This window comes from Homo sapiens, chromosome 22, assembly GCF_000001405.40.
Source record: "Homo sapiens chromosome 22, GRCh38.p14 Primary Assembly".
Lineage (NCBI taxonomy): Eukaryota > Metazoa > Chordata > Mammalia > Primates > Hominidae > Homo > Homo sapiens.
The window spans coordinates 49,975,366-49,990,760 of record NC_000022.11 but is presented as its reverse complement, the minus strand read 5'-3'; the positions used below and the strand labels follow the sequence as shown (position 1 = coordinate 49,990,760).

At 46.6% G+C, this 15,395-nt stretch overlaps 5 annotated features.

Annotated features, from left to right (window-relative positions):
* Positions 7,153-8,074: an enhancer, noted in NCBI's record as "H3K27ac-H3K4me1 hESC enhancer chr22:50421116-50422037 (GRCh37/hg19 assembly coordinates)". NCBI's record gives its function as "activates a minimal SCP1, AML or CMV promoter by ChIP-STARR-seq in naive H9 embryonic stem cells {active_cell/tissue: H9 hESC(naive)}" and the evidence as "EXISTENCE:reporter gene assay evidence [ECO:0000049][PMID:30033119]".
* Positions 13,678-13,727: an enhancer, noted in NCBI's record as "active region_19295". NCBI's record gives its function as "activates an Ori minimal core promoter by ATAC-STARR-seq in GM12878 lymphoblastoid cells {active_cell/tissue: GM12878}" and the evidence as "EXISTENCE:reporter gene assay evidence [ECO:0000049][PMID:35858748]".
* Positions 13,778-13,827: an enhancer, noted in NCBI's record as "active region_19294". NCBI's record gives its function as "activates an Ori minimal core promoter by ATAC-STARR-seq in GM12878 lymphoblastoid cells {active_cell/tissue: GM12878}" and the evidence as "EXISTENCE:reporter gene assay evidence [ECO:0000049][PMID:35858748]".
* Positions 13,968-14,037: an enhancer, noted in NCBI's record as "active region_19293". NCBI's record gives its function as "activates an Ori minimal core promoter by ATAC-STARR-seq in GM12878 lymphoblastoid cells {active_cell/tissue: GM12878}" and the evidence as "EXISTENCE:reporter gene assay evidence [ECO:0000049][PMID:35858748]".
* Positions 14,598-14,897: a silencer, noted in NCBI's record as "silent region_13944". NCBI's record gives its function as "represses an Ori minimal core promoter by ATAC-STARR-seq in GM12878 lymphoblastoid cells {active_cell/tissue: GM12878}" and the evidence as "EXISTENCE:reporter gene assay evidence [ECO:0000049][PMID:35858748]".

Here is a 15,395-nt window from a genome sequence, read left to right as displayed (position 1 = left end):
TTCTGCTTTTCTTTAGCTTCATGTCCATATTTCCCTTTAGCTTATTGAATATAAATACACACACACACACACACACACACACACACACACACACACACACACAGAGAGAGAGAGAAAGAGAAAGAGACTCTCCCTCTCCCTCTCTCTCCCTGTCCCTCTCCTCTCCCTCTCCCTCTCTGGTCTCCCTCTGTTGCCGAGGCTGGACTGTACTGCCGTGATCTCAGCTCGCTGCAACCTCCCTGCCTCGGGCTCCCGTGATTCTCCTGCCTCGGCCTGCCGAGTGCCTGGGTTTGCAGGCATGTGCCGCCACGCCTGACTGGTTTTTGTATTTTTGGTGGAGATGGGGTTTCACCATGTTGACCAGGCTGGTCTCCAGCTCCTGACCTCGAGTGATCTGCCTGCCTCGGCCTCCCGAGGTGCTGGGATTGCAGACGGAGACTCGCTCACTCAGTGCTCAATGTTGCCCAGGCTGGAGTGCAGTGGCATGATCTCGGCTTGCTACAACCTCCACCTCCCAGCCGCCTGCCTTGGCCTCCCAAAGTGCTAAGATTACAGCCTCTGTCCAGCCGCCACCCCGTCTAGGAAGTGAGGAGCGCCTCTGCCCGGCCGCCCATTGTCTGGGATGTGAGGAGCGCCTCTGCCCGGCTGCCCCGTCTGGGAGGTGAGGAGCGCCTCTGCCCGGCCGCCCATCGTCTGGGAGGTGAGGAGCGCCTCTGCCCAGCCGCCACCCTATCTAGGAAGTGAGGAGCGCCTCTGCCCGGCTGCCCCGTCTGGGAAGTGAGGAGCGTCTCTGCCTGGCCACCGCCCGTCTGGGAAGTGAGGAGTGCCTCTGCCTGGCCGCTGTGCAATCTTCCAAGTGTGAAGTGACAGCCTTTCTGCAGGTGTATCCAACAGCTGTGAAGAGACAGCGACCATCGAGAACGGGCCATGATGACGATGGCGGTTTTGTCAAAAAGAAAAGGGGGAAATGTGGGGAAAAGAAAGAGAGATCAGATTGTTACTGTGTCTGTGTAGAAAGAAGTAGACATAGGAGACTCCATTTTCTGTACTAAGAAAATTCTTCTGCCTTGGGATGCTGTTAATCTATAACCTTACCCCCAACCCCGTGCTCTCTGAAACATGTGCTGTGTCCACTCAGGGTTAAATGGATTAAGGGCGGTGCAAGATGTGCTTTGTTAAACAGATGCTCGAAGGCAGCATGCTTGTTAAGAGTCATCACCACTCCCTAATCTCAAGTACCCAGGGACACAAACACTGCGGAAGGCCGCAGGGTCCTCTGCCTAGGAAAACCAGAGACCTTTGTTCACATGTTTATCTGCTGACCTTCTGTCCACTATTGTCCTATGACTCTGACATATCCCCCTCTCTGAGAAACACCCAAGAATGATCAATAAATGCTAAAAAAAAAAAAAAGAAAAAAAAAGAGAGAGAGAGATGGAGTCTTGCTCGGTCACCCAGGCTGGAGTGCAGTAGCGCAATCTCAGGTCACTGCAACCTCTGCCTCCCAGGTTCAAGCAATTCTCCTGCCTCAGCCTCCTGAGTACCTGGGATTACAGGTGTGTGCTACCACATCCGGCTAATTTTTCTATTTTTGGTAGAGACAAGGTTTCTCTATGTTGGCCAGGCTGATCTCGAACTCCTGACCTCAGGTGATCTGCCCTCCTCGGCCTCCCAAAATGCTGGAATTACAGGCGTGAGCCACCGCACCCAGCCTGCTTATTGAATATTTTTAAGATAGTTGATTTAACATTTTTGTCTAGTACTTCCAATGTCTGGACAGCTTCAGAAGTGACTTCTATAAAATTACCTTTTTTTTTTTTTTCCTGTGAATGGGTCATACTTTCCTGTTTCTTTGTATGCTGTGTAATTTTGTATTGGAACTGGACATTTCAAGTATTATAATGTGTGTCTGCATCCACTTGTGTTGCCAAAGGAGCACCTCAGGCTGGGTAATTTATAGAGACTCTGTCTTGCTCCTGGTTCTGCAGGCTGTACGGGAAGCATGGCACCAGCATCTGCTTCTGGCAAGAGCCTCAGGCTGCTTTTACTCATGGCAGAAGGTGAAGGGGAGGTGGCACATCACATGGTGAGAGAGACACAAAAACGAGGAGTGAGGTGCCAGGGTCTTTCTAACAAGCAGATCTCAGAGGAGCTACTAGAGGGAGAACTCACTCTACCGTGAGGACAGTACCAAACCATTCACGAGGCGTTCACCCCAATGACTCAAATACCTCCCACCAGGCTCCGCCTCCAATGGGGATCCAATTTCCACATGAGATTTGGAGGACAAATATCCAAGCTATATAAATGTGGTTAACTCTGAAAATCAGATTCTTCCTCCTCAAAAATTGCTGTTGAGGGCTACAATTGTCGGTTTTTTTTTTTCTTTTTGAGATGGAATCTCACTGTGTTGTCCAGGCTGGACTGCAGTGGCCCAATCTCAGCTCACTTCAATTTCCACCTCCTGGTTTCAAGCAATTATCCTGCCTCAGCCTCCCGAGTAGCTGGGATTACAGGCACCCGCCACCACGCCCGGCTAATATTTTTGTATTTTTAATAGAGACAGGGTTTCACCATGTTGGCCAGGCTGGTTTCAAACTCCTGACCTCAAGTGATCCACCCGCCTCAGCCTCCCAAACTGCTAGGACTACAGGTGTGAGCCACTGCGCCTGGCCAATTATCTTTTTTTTTTTTTTTTTTGGAAGACAGAGTCTCACTCTGTCACCCAGGCTAGAGTGCAGTGGTGCAATCTCAGCTCACTGCAACCTCCGCCTCCTGGGTTCAAGCAATTCTCCTGCCTCAGCCTCCCAACTAGCGGGGACTACAGGCTCCTGCCACCATGCCAGGCTAATATTTTTGTATTTTTAGTAGAAATGGGGTTTTGTCATGTTGGCCAGGCTGGTCTCGAACTCTGGACCACAGGTGATAAGCCCGCCTCAGCCTCCCAAAGTGCTGGGATTATAGGTATGAGCCACAGTGCCCGGCAACATGTTTAGCAACTTTTCCAAACTATGTTTGCAAAGTCGGTATCCCTTCTTATGAGTAGTCTTTGAAGTTTATTTCATTACCTCTGCAGTCAGCCAGTGATCTAATCAAGATTTTCTTACATGTCAAAAAGTATATCTCTTTACATCTTTCAATACAGGCCACATTAAGGAACTAAAAAAAAGAGAGAACTAAAATAACCCAATTCTAGCAGGAAGAAGAGAATAATAAAGATTAGTGTGGGCTGAGTGCGGTGGCTCATGCCATAATCCCAGCACTTTGAGAGGCTGAAGTGGGAGGATCACTTGAGGCCAGGAGTTTGAGAACACCTTGAGCAGCATAGCAAGATATTGTTTCCACAAAAAATTAGAATTAAAAAATTAGCTAGGCATGGTGGCACGTGCCTGTAGTCCTAGCTATTCAGGGGGCTGCGGCAGAAGGATTGGTTGAACCCAGGAGTTTGAAGTTACAGTGAGCTATGATCATGCTATTACACTCCAGCCTGGATGACAGAGCGAGACCCTGTCTCAAAAAAAAAAAAAAAAAAAAAAAATATATATATATATATACACACACACACACATATGTGTGTGTGTGTGTGATTAATGACATATAATGACATAGAGATAAAAATAGAGAATATCAACAAAAGCAAAATTAGTACATTGAAAATATCAACAAAATTGACAAACTCTTAGCCAGATTGACAAGGAATAAAACAAGACTAAAATTACTAAGATCACAAATGAACTGGAAACATTACTACTGATTTTACAGAAATAAAAAGGATTATAAAAGAATGCTATAACCAACAAATTGGATAGCCTAAATGAAATGAACAAATTCTTAAATGCAAAAACATACTACCAAAACTGACTCAAGAAGAAACACAAAATCTAAATAGACCTATAACAAAGAGATTGAATCAATAATCAAAAACCTTCTAACAAAGCAAAACTCAGGAGCCGAGAGCTTCACTGGTGAACTATACCAAACATTTAAAGTAGAATTAAAGTAGAATTCTCAAACTATTCCAAAAAATTGAGGAGGAAGAAACACTTCCTAACTCATTTTGTAAGGCCGGCATTACCCTGATATTAAAGCCAGAATGGCACTACAAGAAATAAAATTACGGACCAATGTCTCTCATGAACATAGATGTAAAAATTCTCAACAAAATACTAGCAAACTGAATTCAACAGTGTATTAAACAGATCATATGCCATGACCAAGTGGGATTTATTCCAGGAATGCAAGGATGGTTGAACATGCAGAAATCATTATGATTCAATACATTTATAGAATGAAGAGAAAAAAAACACATAATTTCCTCAATGCAGAAAAAGCACTTCACAAAATCCAACACTCTTTCATTATATAAATGCTTAATAAACTAGGAATAGAAGGGAACTTTCTCAACATGATAAAGCCCATATATGAAAAGGCCACAGCAAACATTATATTCAATGGTGAAGGGCTGAAAACTTTCCCCCTAAGATCAGGAACAAGACGAAGATCCCTACTTTCAACACTTCTATCTAACATAGTACTGAATATTTTAGCCAGAGCAATTAAATAAACAAACAAGCGTTCAAATTAGAAAAGAATTAAAATTATCTCTATTTGTAGGTGACATGATCTTATATGCAGAAAATCTTAAAGAATCCACAAAGAAAAACACTTTTAGAGCTAACAAACTGGACAAAGTTGCAAGGCATACAAAACCAATACACAAAAATTAGTTGCATCTGTATACACTCTCAAGGAACAATCCCAAACAGAAACTAAGAAAACAATTCCATTTGCAATGGCACCAAAAAGGCAAAATACTTAAGAATTAACCAAAAATATGGAAGGCTTGTACACTAAAAAACTTGCACACTGCAAAAATACATCTGAAGGAAATTAAACAAGACCTAAATAAATGGAAAGACATCTGTGTTCATGGATTGGAAGACTTGATACTGCTAAAGTGGCAATACTACCCAAAGTAGCCTACAGGCTTGGTGTAATCCCTATCAAAATCCCAATGGTGTTTTTTGCAGAAATAGAAAACTCTATCCTAAAATTCACCTGGAATCTCAAGGGACCTGAATGGCCAAAATAATTCTGAAAAACAGCAAAGTTGGATTCATACTTCCTGATTTCAAAACTTACTACAAAGCTACAGTAATCAAAATTGTATAGTATTGGCATAAGGATAGACGTGGAATAGAATTAAGAGTTAAACTCTCACATATGATCAACTGATTCCCAACAGGGGGAAAAGGCCATTCAATGGGGGAAAGGACAGTGTCTTCAACAAACGGTGCTGAGAAAATGTTAACTACATGCAAAAGAATGACCTTGGACCCTGACCTTACCCCATATTCAAAAAGTAACTCCAAATGGATTAAAGATTCAACTTAGGAGCTAAAACTACAAAGCTTCTGGAAGAAAAGACAGGAGAAAATACTGGATTTGGCAACGTTTTCTCTCTCTCTCTCTCTCTCTCTCTCTCTTTCTTTCTTTCTTTCTTTCTTCTTTCTTTTTCTCTTTCTCTTCTTTTTCTTTCTTTCTTTCCTTTCTTTCTCTCTCTCTCTCTCTCTCTCTCTCTCTTTGAGGCAGAGTCTCACTCTGTTGCCAGGGAGTGCAATGGCGTGATCTCGGCTCACCGCAGCCTTCACCTCCCAGGTTTAAAGTGATTCTTCTGCCTCAGCCTCTCGAGTAGCTGGGACTACAGGCGCATGCCACTATTTTGTATTTTTTCAGTAGAGATGGGGTTTCACCATGTTGGCCAGGCAGGTCTTGAACTCCTGACCTCAGGTGATCCACCCACCTGGGCCTCCCAAAGTGCTGGGATTACAGGCATGAGCCACTGTGCCCAGCTAGCAACGTTTTCTTAAACATGACACTGAAGGCTGGGTGCGGTGGCTCACGCTTGTAATCCCAGCACTTTGGGAGGCTGAGGCAGGCGGATCACCTGAGGCTGGGAGTTCGAGACCAGCCTGACCAATATGGAGAAACCCTGTGTCTACTAAAAATAAAATTAGCCGGGTATGGTGGCACATGCCTGTAATCCCAGCTACTCAGGAGACTGAGGCAGAAGAATTGCTTGAACCTGGGAGCCAAAGGTTGTGGTGAGCCGAGATCGCGCCATTGCACTCCAGTCTGGGCAACAAGAGCAAAACTCTGTCTAAAAAAACAAAACAAAACAAAAAAAAACGCTGAAAGCACAAGCAACAAAAGAAAAAATAGATAAATTGGATTTCATGAAAATTAACAACTTTTGTGAATGAAAGGACACTATCAAGCGAGTGAAAAGACAACCCACTGAGTGGGAGAAAATATTTGCAGATCATATCTCTGATAAGGGTCTAGTATCTGGAACATATAAAGAATTTCAACAACTCAACAACAGAAAGACACACAACCCAACTAAAAACTGGACTTGAACAGACATTTCTCTGGAGAAAATATGCAAATGGCCAATAAGCACATGAAAGAGCTCTCAACATCATTAGTCATTAGGGAACCGCAAATCAAAACCACAGTAAGATTCCACTTCACATCCATTAGGATGGCTATTATTAAAATACTAATGTGGGGCCGGGCACGGTGGCTCACGCCTGTAATCCCAGCACTTTGGGAGGCCGAGGCGGGCACATCACTTAAGGTCAGGAGTTCGAGACCAGCCTCGCCAACACGGTGAAATCCCCGTCTCTCCATGGGAGCGGCCCTGGCCCCGCGGGTGGGAGCCGGCGAGAAGGGGCGCCCGGGCGGTGTGGACGGGCTGCGGGGAGGGGGGGGAGGGCGTTCCAGGCGCGAGGCAGGAGGCCCTGTCCTGAGCCCTGCAGAGGACGCGAGTCCGGCGCCGCCTCCACGCCACGTGGGGACGAACCGCCTCGAGCTGGGGAGCGGGGCGGCCACTTGCCTCTGGGCGAAGACCGACGTCGCTGGGCGTTTTGCGGAGAGTCCTCGTGGCTCCGACTCGCCCCGATACCTGCCCCCGGCGGAGCAGACGCCGCCCCGACCTCCCGCCCGGATTTCTCGGTCTGGTGTCCGCCCGCCCGGGGCCCTGAGGGAAGGCGGGGGCGTCGCGCTTCCCGGGGAGGCGAGAGGGAGCAGCTGCGGGGGCGGGAGGAGGGGGCGGGCCCGGGGGCGAGGCTCGGGCTTGGCTTACAGGCCCTGGAGGGCCGGGCAGGACCCGCAGCTGCTGTGGATGAGGGGCGGCCTCCGTGGAGCCCCCTGGCGGCGGGAATAAGGGCGGGGCGTCCTGCCCCCTCCACGCGCAGGAACCCGGAGCGAGGGCGCGAGGGCGCGAGGGCTCAAGGTCTCCCGTCTCCCCGCCCCCTCGCTTCAGCTTTTACTGGGGGAGATGTCTTTGAGGACAAGCTCCTGACTCAGCCTCAGGTTCCCAGGACGCGTGTTCCCCTCGCAGCTGAACCAACCCGACGGGGCGCTCCTGGAGAGACCCTCCCTTCACCCCAGGAGGGACCCCACGGGCGCCTGCGTCCTGCGAAGCTGGCGATTCCACTGCGTGGCAGCGCTGCTCCCCTACCCCGGGAGTCTGGAGGGAGCCGGGTGGACACAGGCTCAGGGTGACCCTCGCCACCTGGATGGCCTCAGGGTGACCCTCACCACCTGGGTGGCCGCAGGGTGACCCTCACCACCTGGGTGGCCAGGGCGAGCTTCTCCATCTCTGACCTGTGCCTTTTTATCCATGAACGAGGACCCGAGGGCAGGCTGCCCAGCGGGCCGGGCTCCCACCCGGGCAGGGCCTCAGGCAGCTCTGCGCGCCCTGGAGCAGTGGGAGGTGCCGGTTCGCTCATCTGGAAATGCCCCCGTCCCCAGCTCCCCTAGGCCTTCCCAGGAACACCCACAACGGTTCATCTCAGAATACCGATGACCAGTGGTTCCAGCACCATTTGCTGAGAAAATTTTCCTTTCTGCACTGGATGGCCCCTTTGCCAAAGATCAAAGGAGATGATGAGTTTCTGTGGGTGTATCCGAACTATCTGTTCCCTTCTGTGGATCTGTGCACCTATCACTTTGCCGATTCCACGTGGTCATCACTGCTGTGGCGCTATAGTAAGTGTTAAACTCGGATAGTCAGCTGGGCGAGGTGGCTCACGCCTGTAATCCAGCATTTTGGGAGGCCGAGGCGGGAGGATCACCTGAGGCCAGGAGTTCAAGACCAGCCTGACCAACATGGCGAAACCCCATCTCTACTAAAAATACAAAAATTAGCTGGGTGTGGTGGCAGGCGCCTGTAATCCCAGCTACTCGGGAGACTGAGGCAGGAGAATCGCTTGAACCCGGGAGGTGGAGGTTGCAATGAGCCGAGATGGTGTCACTGCACTCCAGCCTGGGTGACAGAGCCAGACTCCATCTCAAAAACAAAGAAAATCGGATAGTCTGAATCCTACAACTATTTTCTTGCTTTCAAATTTTAGTTATTCTAATTAATTACCCTTCCATATAAAGTTTAAAATCAGTCTACATCTACCAAAGGAAAAAAAATCCTGCTGGAATTTTGCCTGGTTTTGTGTTAAATCTGTACATCACTTGGGGAGAAAGGACCTCTTTACTACGCTGAGCTTTCAAATCCACAAACCCAGTAAGTCTTTCCCTTTGATTATTTTCAAGAGCGTTTTATAGTTGCCAATGCACAGGTTTCGTACGTTGTGTTGGATTTACATCCAGGCATGTTTTGGAGCTATTGTAAATTATAACCTTAATATTTTTTGGCTTCCTATTGCTCACTGTTTGTATATGGGAATAAAACTGATTTATTTATTTATTTATTTATTTATTTATTTATTTATTTATTTTTATTTTTCAGACAGAGTCTCCCTCTGTCGCTCAGGCTGGAGTACAGTGGCATGATCTCGGCTCACTGCAACCTCCACCTCCTGGGCTCAAGTGATTCTCCTGTCTCAGCCTCCCTAGTAGCTGGGATTACAGGCGCCTGCCACCACGCCCAGCTAATTTTTGTATTTTTAGTAGAGACGGGGTTTCATCATGTTGGCCAGGCTGGTCTTGATCTCCTGACAAAGTGCTGGGATTACAGGCGTGAGCCGCTGTGCCAGGCCTTGATTAATTTCTATGTGTTGACCTTGTAACCTGCAACCTGGCTAAACGCATTCATTGGTTCTATGTTCTTTGTGGGGTTTTTTTTTTTTTTTTTTTTGTTCGTTTGTTTTTGTGACGGAGTCTCACTCACGCTGTCGCCCAGGCTGGAGTGTTGTGCTGTCATACAATCTTGGCTCACTGCAACCTCTGCCTCCCAGGCTCAAGTGATTCTCCTGCCTCAGCCTCTCAAATAGCTGGGACTACAAGCATCCACCACCATGCCCGGCGATTTTTGTATTTTTAGTAGAGATGGGGTTTCTCCATGTTGGACAGGCTGGTCTCGAACTCCTGACCTCAAGTGATCCACCTGCCTCAGCCTCCCAAAGTGCTGGCATTACAGGTGTTACCCATGGCACCCGGCCTTGTTCTTGGTTTCTAATAGGTTCCCTGGGATTTTCTACATAAATAATCATGTTTGTCTGCAAATCAGGGCACTTTCATTTCTTCCTTTCCTGGTGGTATGCCTTTTATTTCTGGTCTCTCCCTTTTGCAGTAGCCGGAACTTCCAGCATGGTGTTGATAAAGAGGGTGAGGGTGGAAATCCTTACCTTGACCCTGGTCTTAGGACCAGGGGGAAGGCATCTAGGCCTTCACCACAAAGTATGCAGTTAGCTGCAGGATATTTGTTGATGTCTTTTGTCAGGCTGAGGAAATTTGCTGGACGTAGAAGTCTGAAAAATGCTGTGTCTTTTCTTTGTAGCCCCTATGAGTTCTGATGAGAAATCCAGTCATTCAAATCATTTTTCTTTATAGATAATACATCTGTAGATAGATAATACATCGATTTTCTCTGGCTGCTTTTAAGATTTTTATTTTTATTTTTGGGGCAGAATTTTACTCTATCACCCAGGATGGAGTGCAGTGGCATGATCTCACTGCAACCTCCGCCTTCCGGGTTCAAGCAATTCTTGTGCCCCAGCCTCCTGAGTAGCTGGGACTACAGGTGCACGCCACCACACCTGGCTCATTTTTGTATTTTTAGTAGAGACGGGGTTTCACCATGTTGGCCAGGCTGATCTCGAACTCCTGACCTCAAGTGATCTGCCCACCTTGGCCTCTCAAAGTGCTGGGATTACAGGGTGAGCCACTGCGCCCGGCCTTAAGATTTTTTTGTCTGTAGTTTTCAGCAATTTAATCTTCGAAGTGTCTTGGAATGGATTTCTTCATTTAACCAGGATGGAGTTTGCTCTGCTTCTTGAATCTGTTGGGTCTTTTACTAAACTTGACAAATTTTTCAGCTGTTACTTCCTTGAATATTCTTTCAGCCTCGTGGTCTCTCTCCTTCTAGGACTCCAGTGACACAAATATTAGCCCTGTTATCATCCCACAGGTCCTAGAGTCTCTGTTCATTTTTTTAAAATTCTTTTTTCTCTCTCTTGCTCAGATTAATTTTAATTTCTGTGAACATACCTTTGAGGTCATTGACTCCTCTGTTACTTCAATTCTGCTATTGAATCCATCCAGTGAGTTTTTTCTTCAGTTACATTTTTCAGTTCTGAAATTTCCCTTTGGTTCTTCTTTACATCTTCTATTTCTTTTCTGAGTCCTTCTATTTTAATATTTGTGTCAAGACTGTTTGCAGTTGCTGGTTTGAGCATTTTTACAACAGCTGTTTTAAAGTCCTTGTCAGATGATTCATGCAAGCCACCGTATCATTGGTGTTCGTTGTTTTTCCATTCATGAGCTTAGATTTTTGCTTTCTTCATATGCCAACTGATTTTTGTTTCTATCGTGGAAATGTTGAGTGGTGTATTATGACTCTCCGGTCTTTATTTTTTGTCATTCTTATTTTAGTCTCTTGTGCAATGTGGTTCCAGTATCAGTTCATTTTCCAGCCTTTACTGTTCTATTCAGGACTAGCCTTCGTGTGCACCACCTAGTGGTCACTCTGAGACCTCAGTGGAGGTCGGCCTGTTAGATCAATTCTCCAAGTATGTGATATGCTAATTAGAAGATCCACACACATGCAGATTAGGAGTGAACCTGGGAGTTTTAGGCTTTTTATTCACAACAGCATTAAAAAACAATAAAATACCAACCAGGCGCTGTGGCTCACACTTGTAATCCCAGCACTTTGGGAGGCCAAGGTGGGTGGATCACCTGAGGTCAGGAGTTCAAGACCAGCCTGGCCAACATGGCAAAACCTCGTCTCTACTAAAAATACAAAAATTAGCCAGACGTGGTGGTGCACGCCTGTAATCCCAGCTACTCAGGAGGCTGAGGAAGGAGAATTGCTTGAACCCAGGAGGTGGAGGTTGCAGTGAGCCGAGATTGTGCCACTGCACTCCAGCCTGGGAGACAGAGGGAGACCCTGTCTCAAAATAATAATAGTAAAATACCTAGGAATAAGTTTAACGAAAATAGTGCAAGACTGGTATGCTTAAAACTGTATAGCATTTCAAAGAGATATTGAAGATCTAAATGAATGGATGGACATTCAGTATTTGTGGATTATAAGACTCAATGTTAAGATGACAATACTCTCCAAATTGGTTTGTAGGTTGAATGCAATCCCTATTGAAATGTGAACAGGCTTTTTGGGTTTGCTTTTTTTTTTTTTTTTTTTTGCAGAAATTATCAATCTGATCATAAAATTTATATGGAAATGCAAAGGATCCAGAATAGCCAAAATAATTTTGAAAGGGAACAAAACTGGAAGATTCACACTTTCCATTTTAAAACTTACTATAAAACTACAGTAGTAGAGTGTGTGCTGGCATGAGAATCAAGATATAGATCAATGGAGAATCCAGCAATAAACCCAAACATTTAGGGTCAGTTGATGTTTGACAAAGGTGCCAAGGCTTTCAGTTGGGGAAAGGACTCTCTTTTTAACAATGGTTCTATGACAGTTAGATATCCACATGTAAAAACATGAGTTTAGACCCCTACCTCACTCCTTACACAAAAATTAACTTGAAATGAACCATAGATAGACCTAAATGAAAGAGCTAAAGCTATGAAATGGTTAAAAGGACGCATGAGGGGAAATCTTCGTGACTGACCTTGAGTGAAGCAAAGTGTTCTCAGCTGCAAGACCAAAGGCAGGATCATGAAGGAAAATAGAGATAAATTGGATTTGATCAAAACTGAAAATGGTGTCCTTCAAACAACGTCATTAAGAAAACAAAAATTGGCTGGGCACAGTGGCTCACACCTGTAATCCCAGTACAATAGGAGGTCGAGGCAGGAGTATCACGAGCCCAGCAATTTGAGACCAGCCTGGGGAACATAATGAGACCCTGATTCTACAAAAACAAAATAGAAATGTAAAAAATCACGCCTGTAATCCCAGCACTTTGGGAGGCCCAGGTGGGCAGATCACCCAAGGTCAGGAGTTCGAAACCAGCCTGACCAACATAGTGAAACCCCGTCTCTACTAAAAATACAAAAATTAGCTGGGCGTTGTGGCATCTGCCTATAAACCCAGCTACTGGGGAGACTGAGGCAGGAGAATCGCTTGAACCTGGGAGGCGGAGGCTGCAGTGAGCCGAGATCGTGCCATTGCACTCCAGCCTGGGCAACAAGAGTGAAACTCTGTCTCAAAAAAAAGAAAGAAAAAGAAAATAAAAGTTTTTTGTTACGTATATTTTACAATTAATAATAAATATATTTTAAAAAATAAGACAACCCAAGTAAAAAAAGAAGGCAAAAATTTTATTAGACATCTCAACAAAGAAGGTACATAAATGGCTTTGTCTTTTAAACACATGACGAGATGCTCAACATCATTAACTACTGGGAAAATTCAAATCAAAGCCCGTGGGAGCCCGCTCTGGCACGTGCCTGTGGGTCAGCCCTGCTCTGCAAAGGGCGGCAGGGAAAACGCCCAGTGGGTTACCACTTCACACACTTGTGTGTAACAAAAAAGGGCGATAAGAAGAAGGGGTGACAAGGGCATGGGAACACTGGAAACTTCATACGTTTCAGACATATGAAAAACGTATAGCCGCCAGGCATGGTGGCTCACACCTGTAATCCCAGCACTTTGGGAAGCCGAGGCGGTCGGATCACTTGAGGTCAGGAGTTCAAGACCAGCCTGGTCAACATGGCGAAACCCTGTCTCTACTAAAAATACAAAAATTAGCTGGGTGTGGTGGTGCATGCCTGTAATCTCAGCTACTCCGGAGGCTGAGGCAGGAGAACTGCTTGAACCCGGGTGGCAGGGGTTTGCAGTGAGCTGAGATCACACCACTGCACTCCAGTCTGAGTGACAGAGGGAGACTCTGTCTCAAAAAAAAAGAAAAAAAAAAAAGAAAGAAAAGTAGCTGGTCATTGTGGCAGGCGCCTGTAATCCCAGCTACTCAGGAGGCTGAGGCAGGAGAATCACTTGAACCCAGGAGGCGGAGGTTGCAGTGAGCTGAGATCAAGCCATTGCACTCCAGCCTGGGCAACAGAGTGAGACTCCGTCTTAAAAAAAAATAAAAAAATTTAAAAAAAGTATAGCCAATTTCTTCACAAGTAAAATGTATATTTACCGTCTGACCTAACAATGCCATTCCTATGTCTCCACCTGAGAGAAATGACAACATATGTCCACACAAGGAATTGTACCTTCACTTGAGCAACAGAGTAAGACCTCGTCTCTACTAAAAAAAAAAAAAAATTAGCCCGGTGTGGTTGTGCTCGCCTGTAGCCCTGGCTACTCAGGAGGTGGCTGGTGCCAGAGAATCGCTTGAGCTCAGGAGGTAGAGGCTGCAGTGAGCCATGATCATGCCATGGCACTCCAGCCTGGGTGACAGCTAGATCCTGTCGCAAAAACAAAAAACCATAAACAATTCTACCTGGATGTTCATAGCAGCTTTATTAATAACAGCCAAAATATGGAAACGGCTCGAACGTCCATCAGCTGGTGAATGGCTAAACAAAATATGGCTTTGCCGTACAATGGGAGAGAATTATAAGAACTACCCACCCATGATGCTACAGTGTGGACCAACCTCAAAGGATTATGCTCAGTGAGAGCAGCCAGACACCAAAGACTACCAGTTGTATGATTCTATTTATGCGGAATTTCCAAAAAAGGCAAATCTATCAAGGCGGAAAGCAGGTTAGAGTTTGCTTAGGGCTGGGGGTGGGAAGAGGAAGTGACTGCTCATGGCTGCGAGGGGACTTCGAGGTGATGGAAATTTCTAAAATTGGAGGGTGGTGATGGTTGCGCTGAAATCATTGAGTCGTGGGTGGATCACTGAAATTGCTGGAAGTGGGTGGATTTTATGGTATGTAAATCACACCTCAATAAAGCTGTTTTAAAAATACCTTTCACAGATTTTATTAGATTTCCATTTACATCTGAGAAATGTTTAAAGTGACTCAGTATTCGTTTCAGAGGAATTTTTTTTTAATTAATTTAGCCAGTGGAAAGAAATGAGCCTGCCCTGGAGGTGCCCCCGGTTGGACAAGAACTCCTGTCCCCACCCCAGCAGTAAGTCCTGGCCCCACGGCCTCCCACCATGGCCTGTCCCCACCCCAGCAGCCCCATGGCCCCACAGCCTGTCCCCACCCCGGCAGCAGGTCCTACCCCACAGCCTCCCCCACAGCCTGTCCCCACCCTGGCAGCCCCATGGCCCCAAGGCCTGTCCCCACCCTGGCAGCAGGTCCTGGCCCCAAGGCCTGTCCCCGCCCTGGCAGCAGGTCGTGGCCCCACGGCCTCCCTCGACGACCACTCCGGAGCCCCGCCTGCGCCTGCCCGGCTCCCCGATCCCTCCGGCCTCCTTAGGGAAGGAAGTCTTTCCCCAAAGGAACTTCCACCTCCCTCCCTATCTCCCTGCTGGGTTCTGCCACCACACACACCACACACACAACACCACACACACACAGCACACACCACACACACACCACACACAGCACACACCACACACAACACACATGATATATACACACCACACACACCACACACACAGCACACACCACAAAACACATAACACACACACCACACACAACACCACACACAGCACACACCACACAACACATGACACACACACCACACACACACCACACATGATATATACACACCACACACACCACTAAACACATGACACACACACCACACACAACACTAAACACCACGCACACCACACACACAGCACACGCCACACACAGCACACACCACAAAACACATGACACACCACACACACCACCACACATGATATATACACACCATACACACACAGCACACACCACAAAACACATGACACACACACCACACACAACACACCACACAAAACCACACACACAGCACACACCACAAAACACATGACACACACACCACACATCACACATGATATATACACACC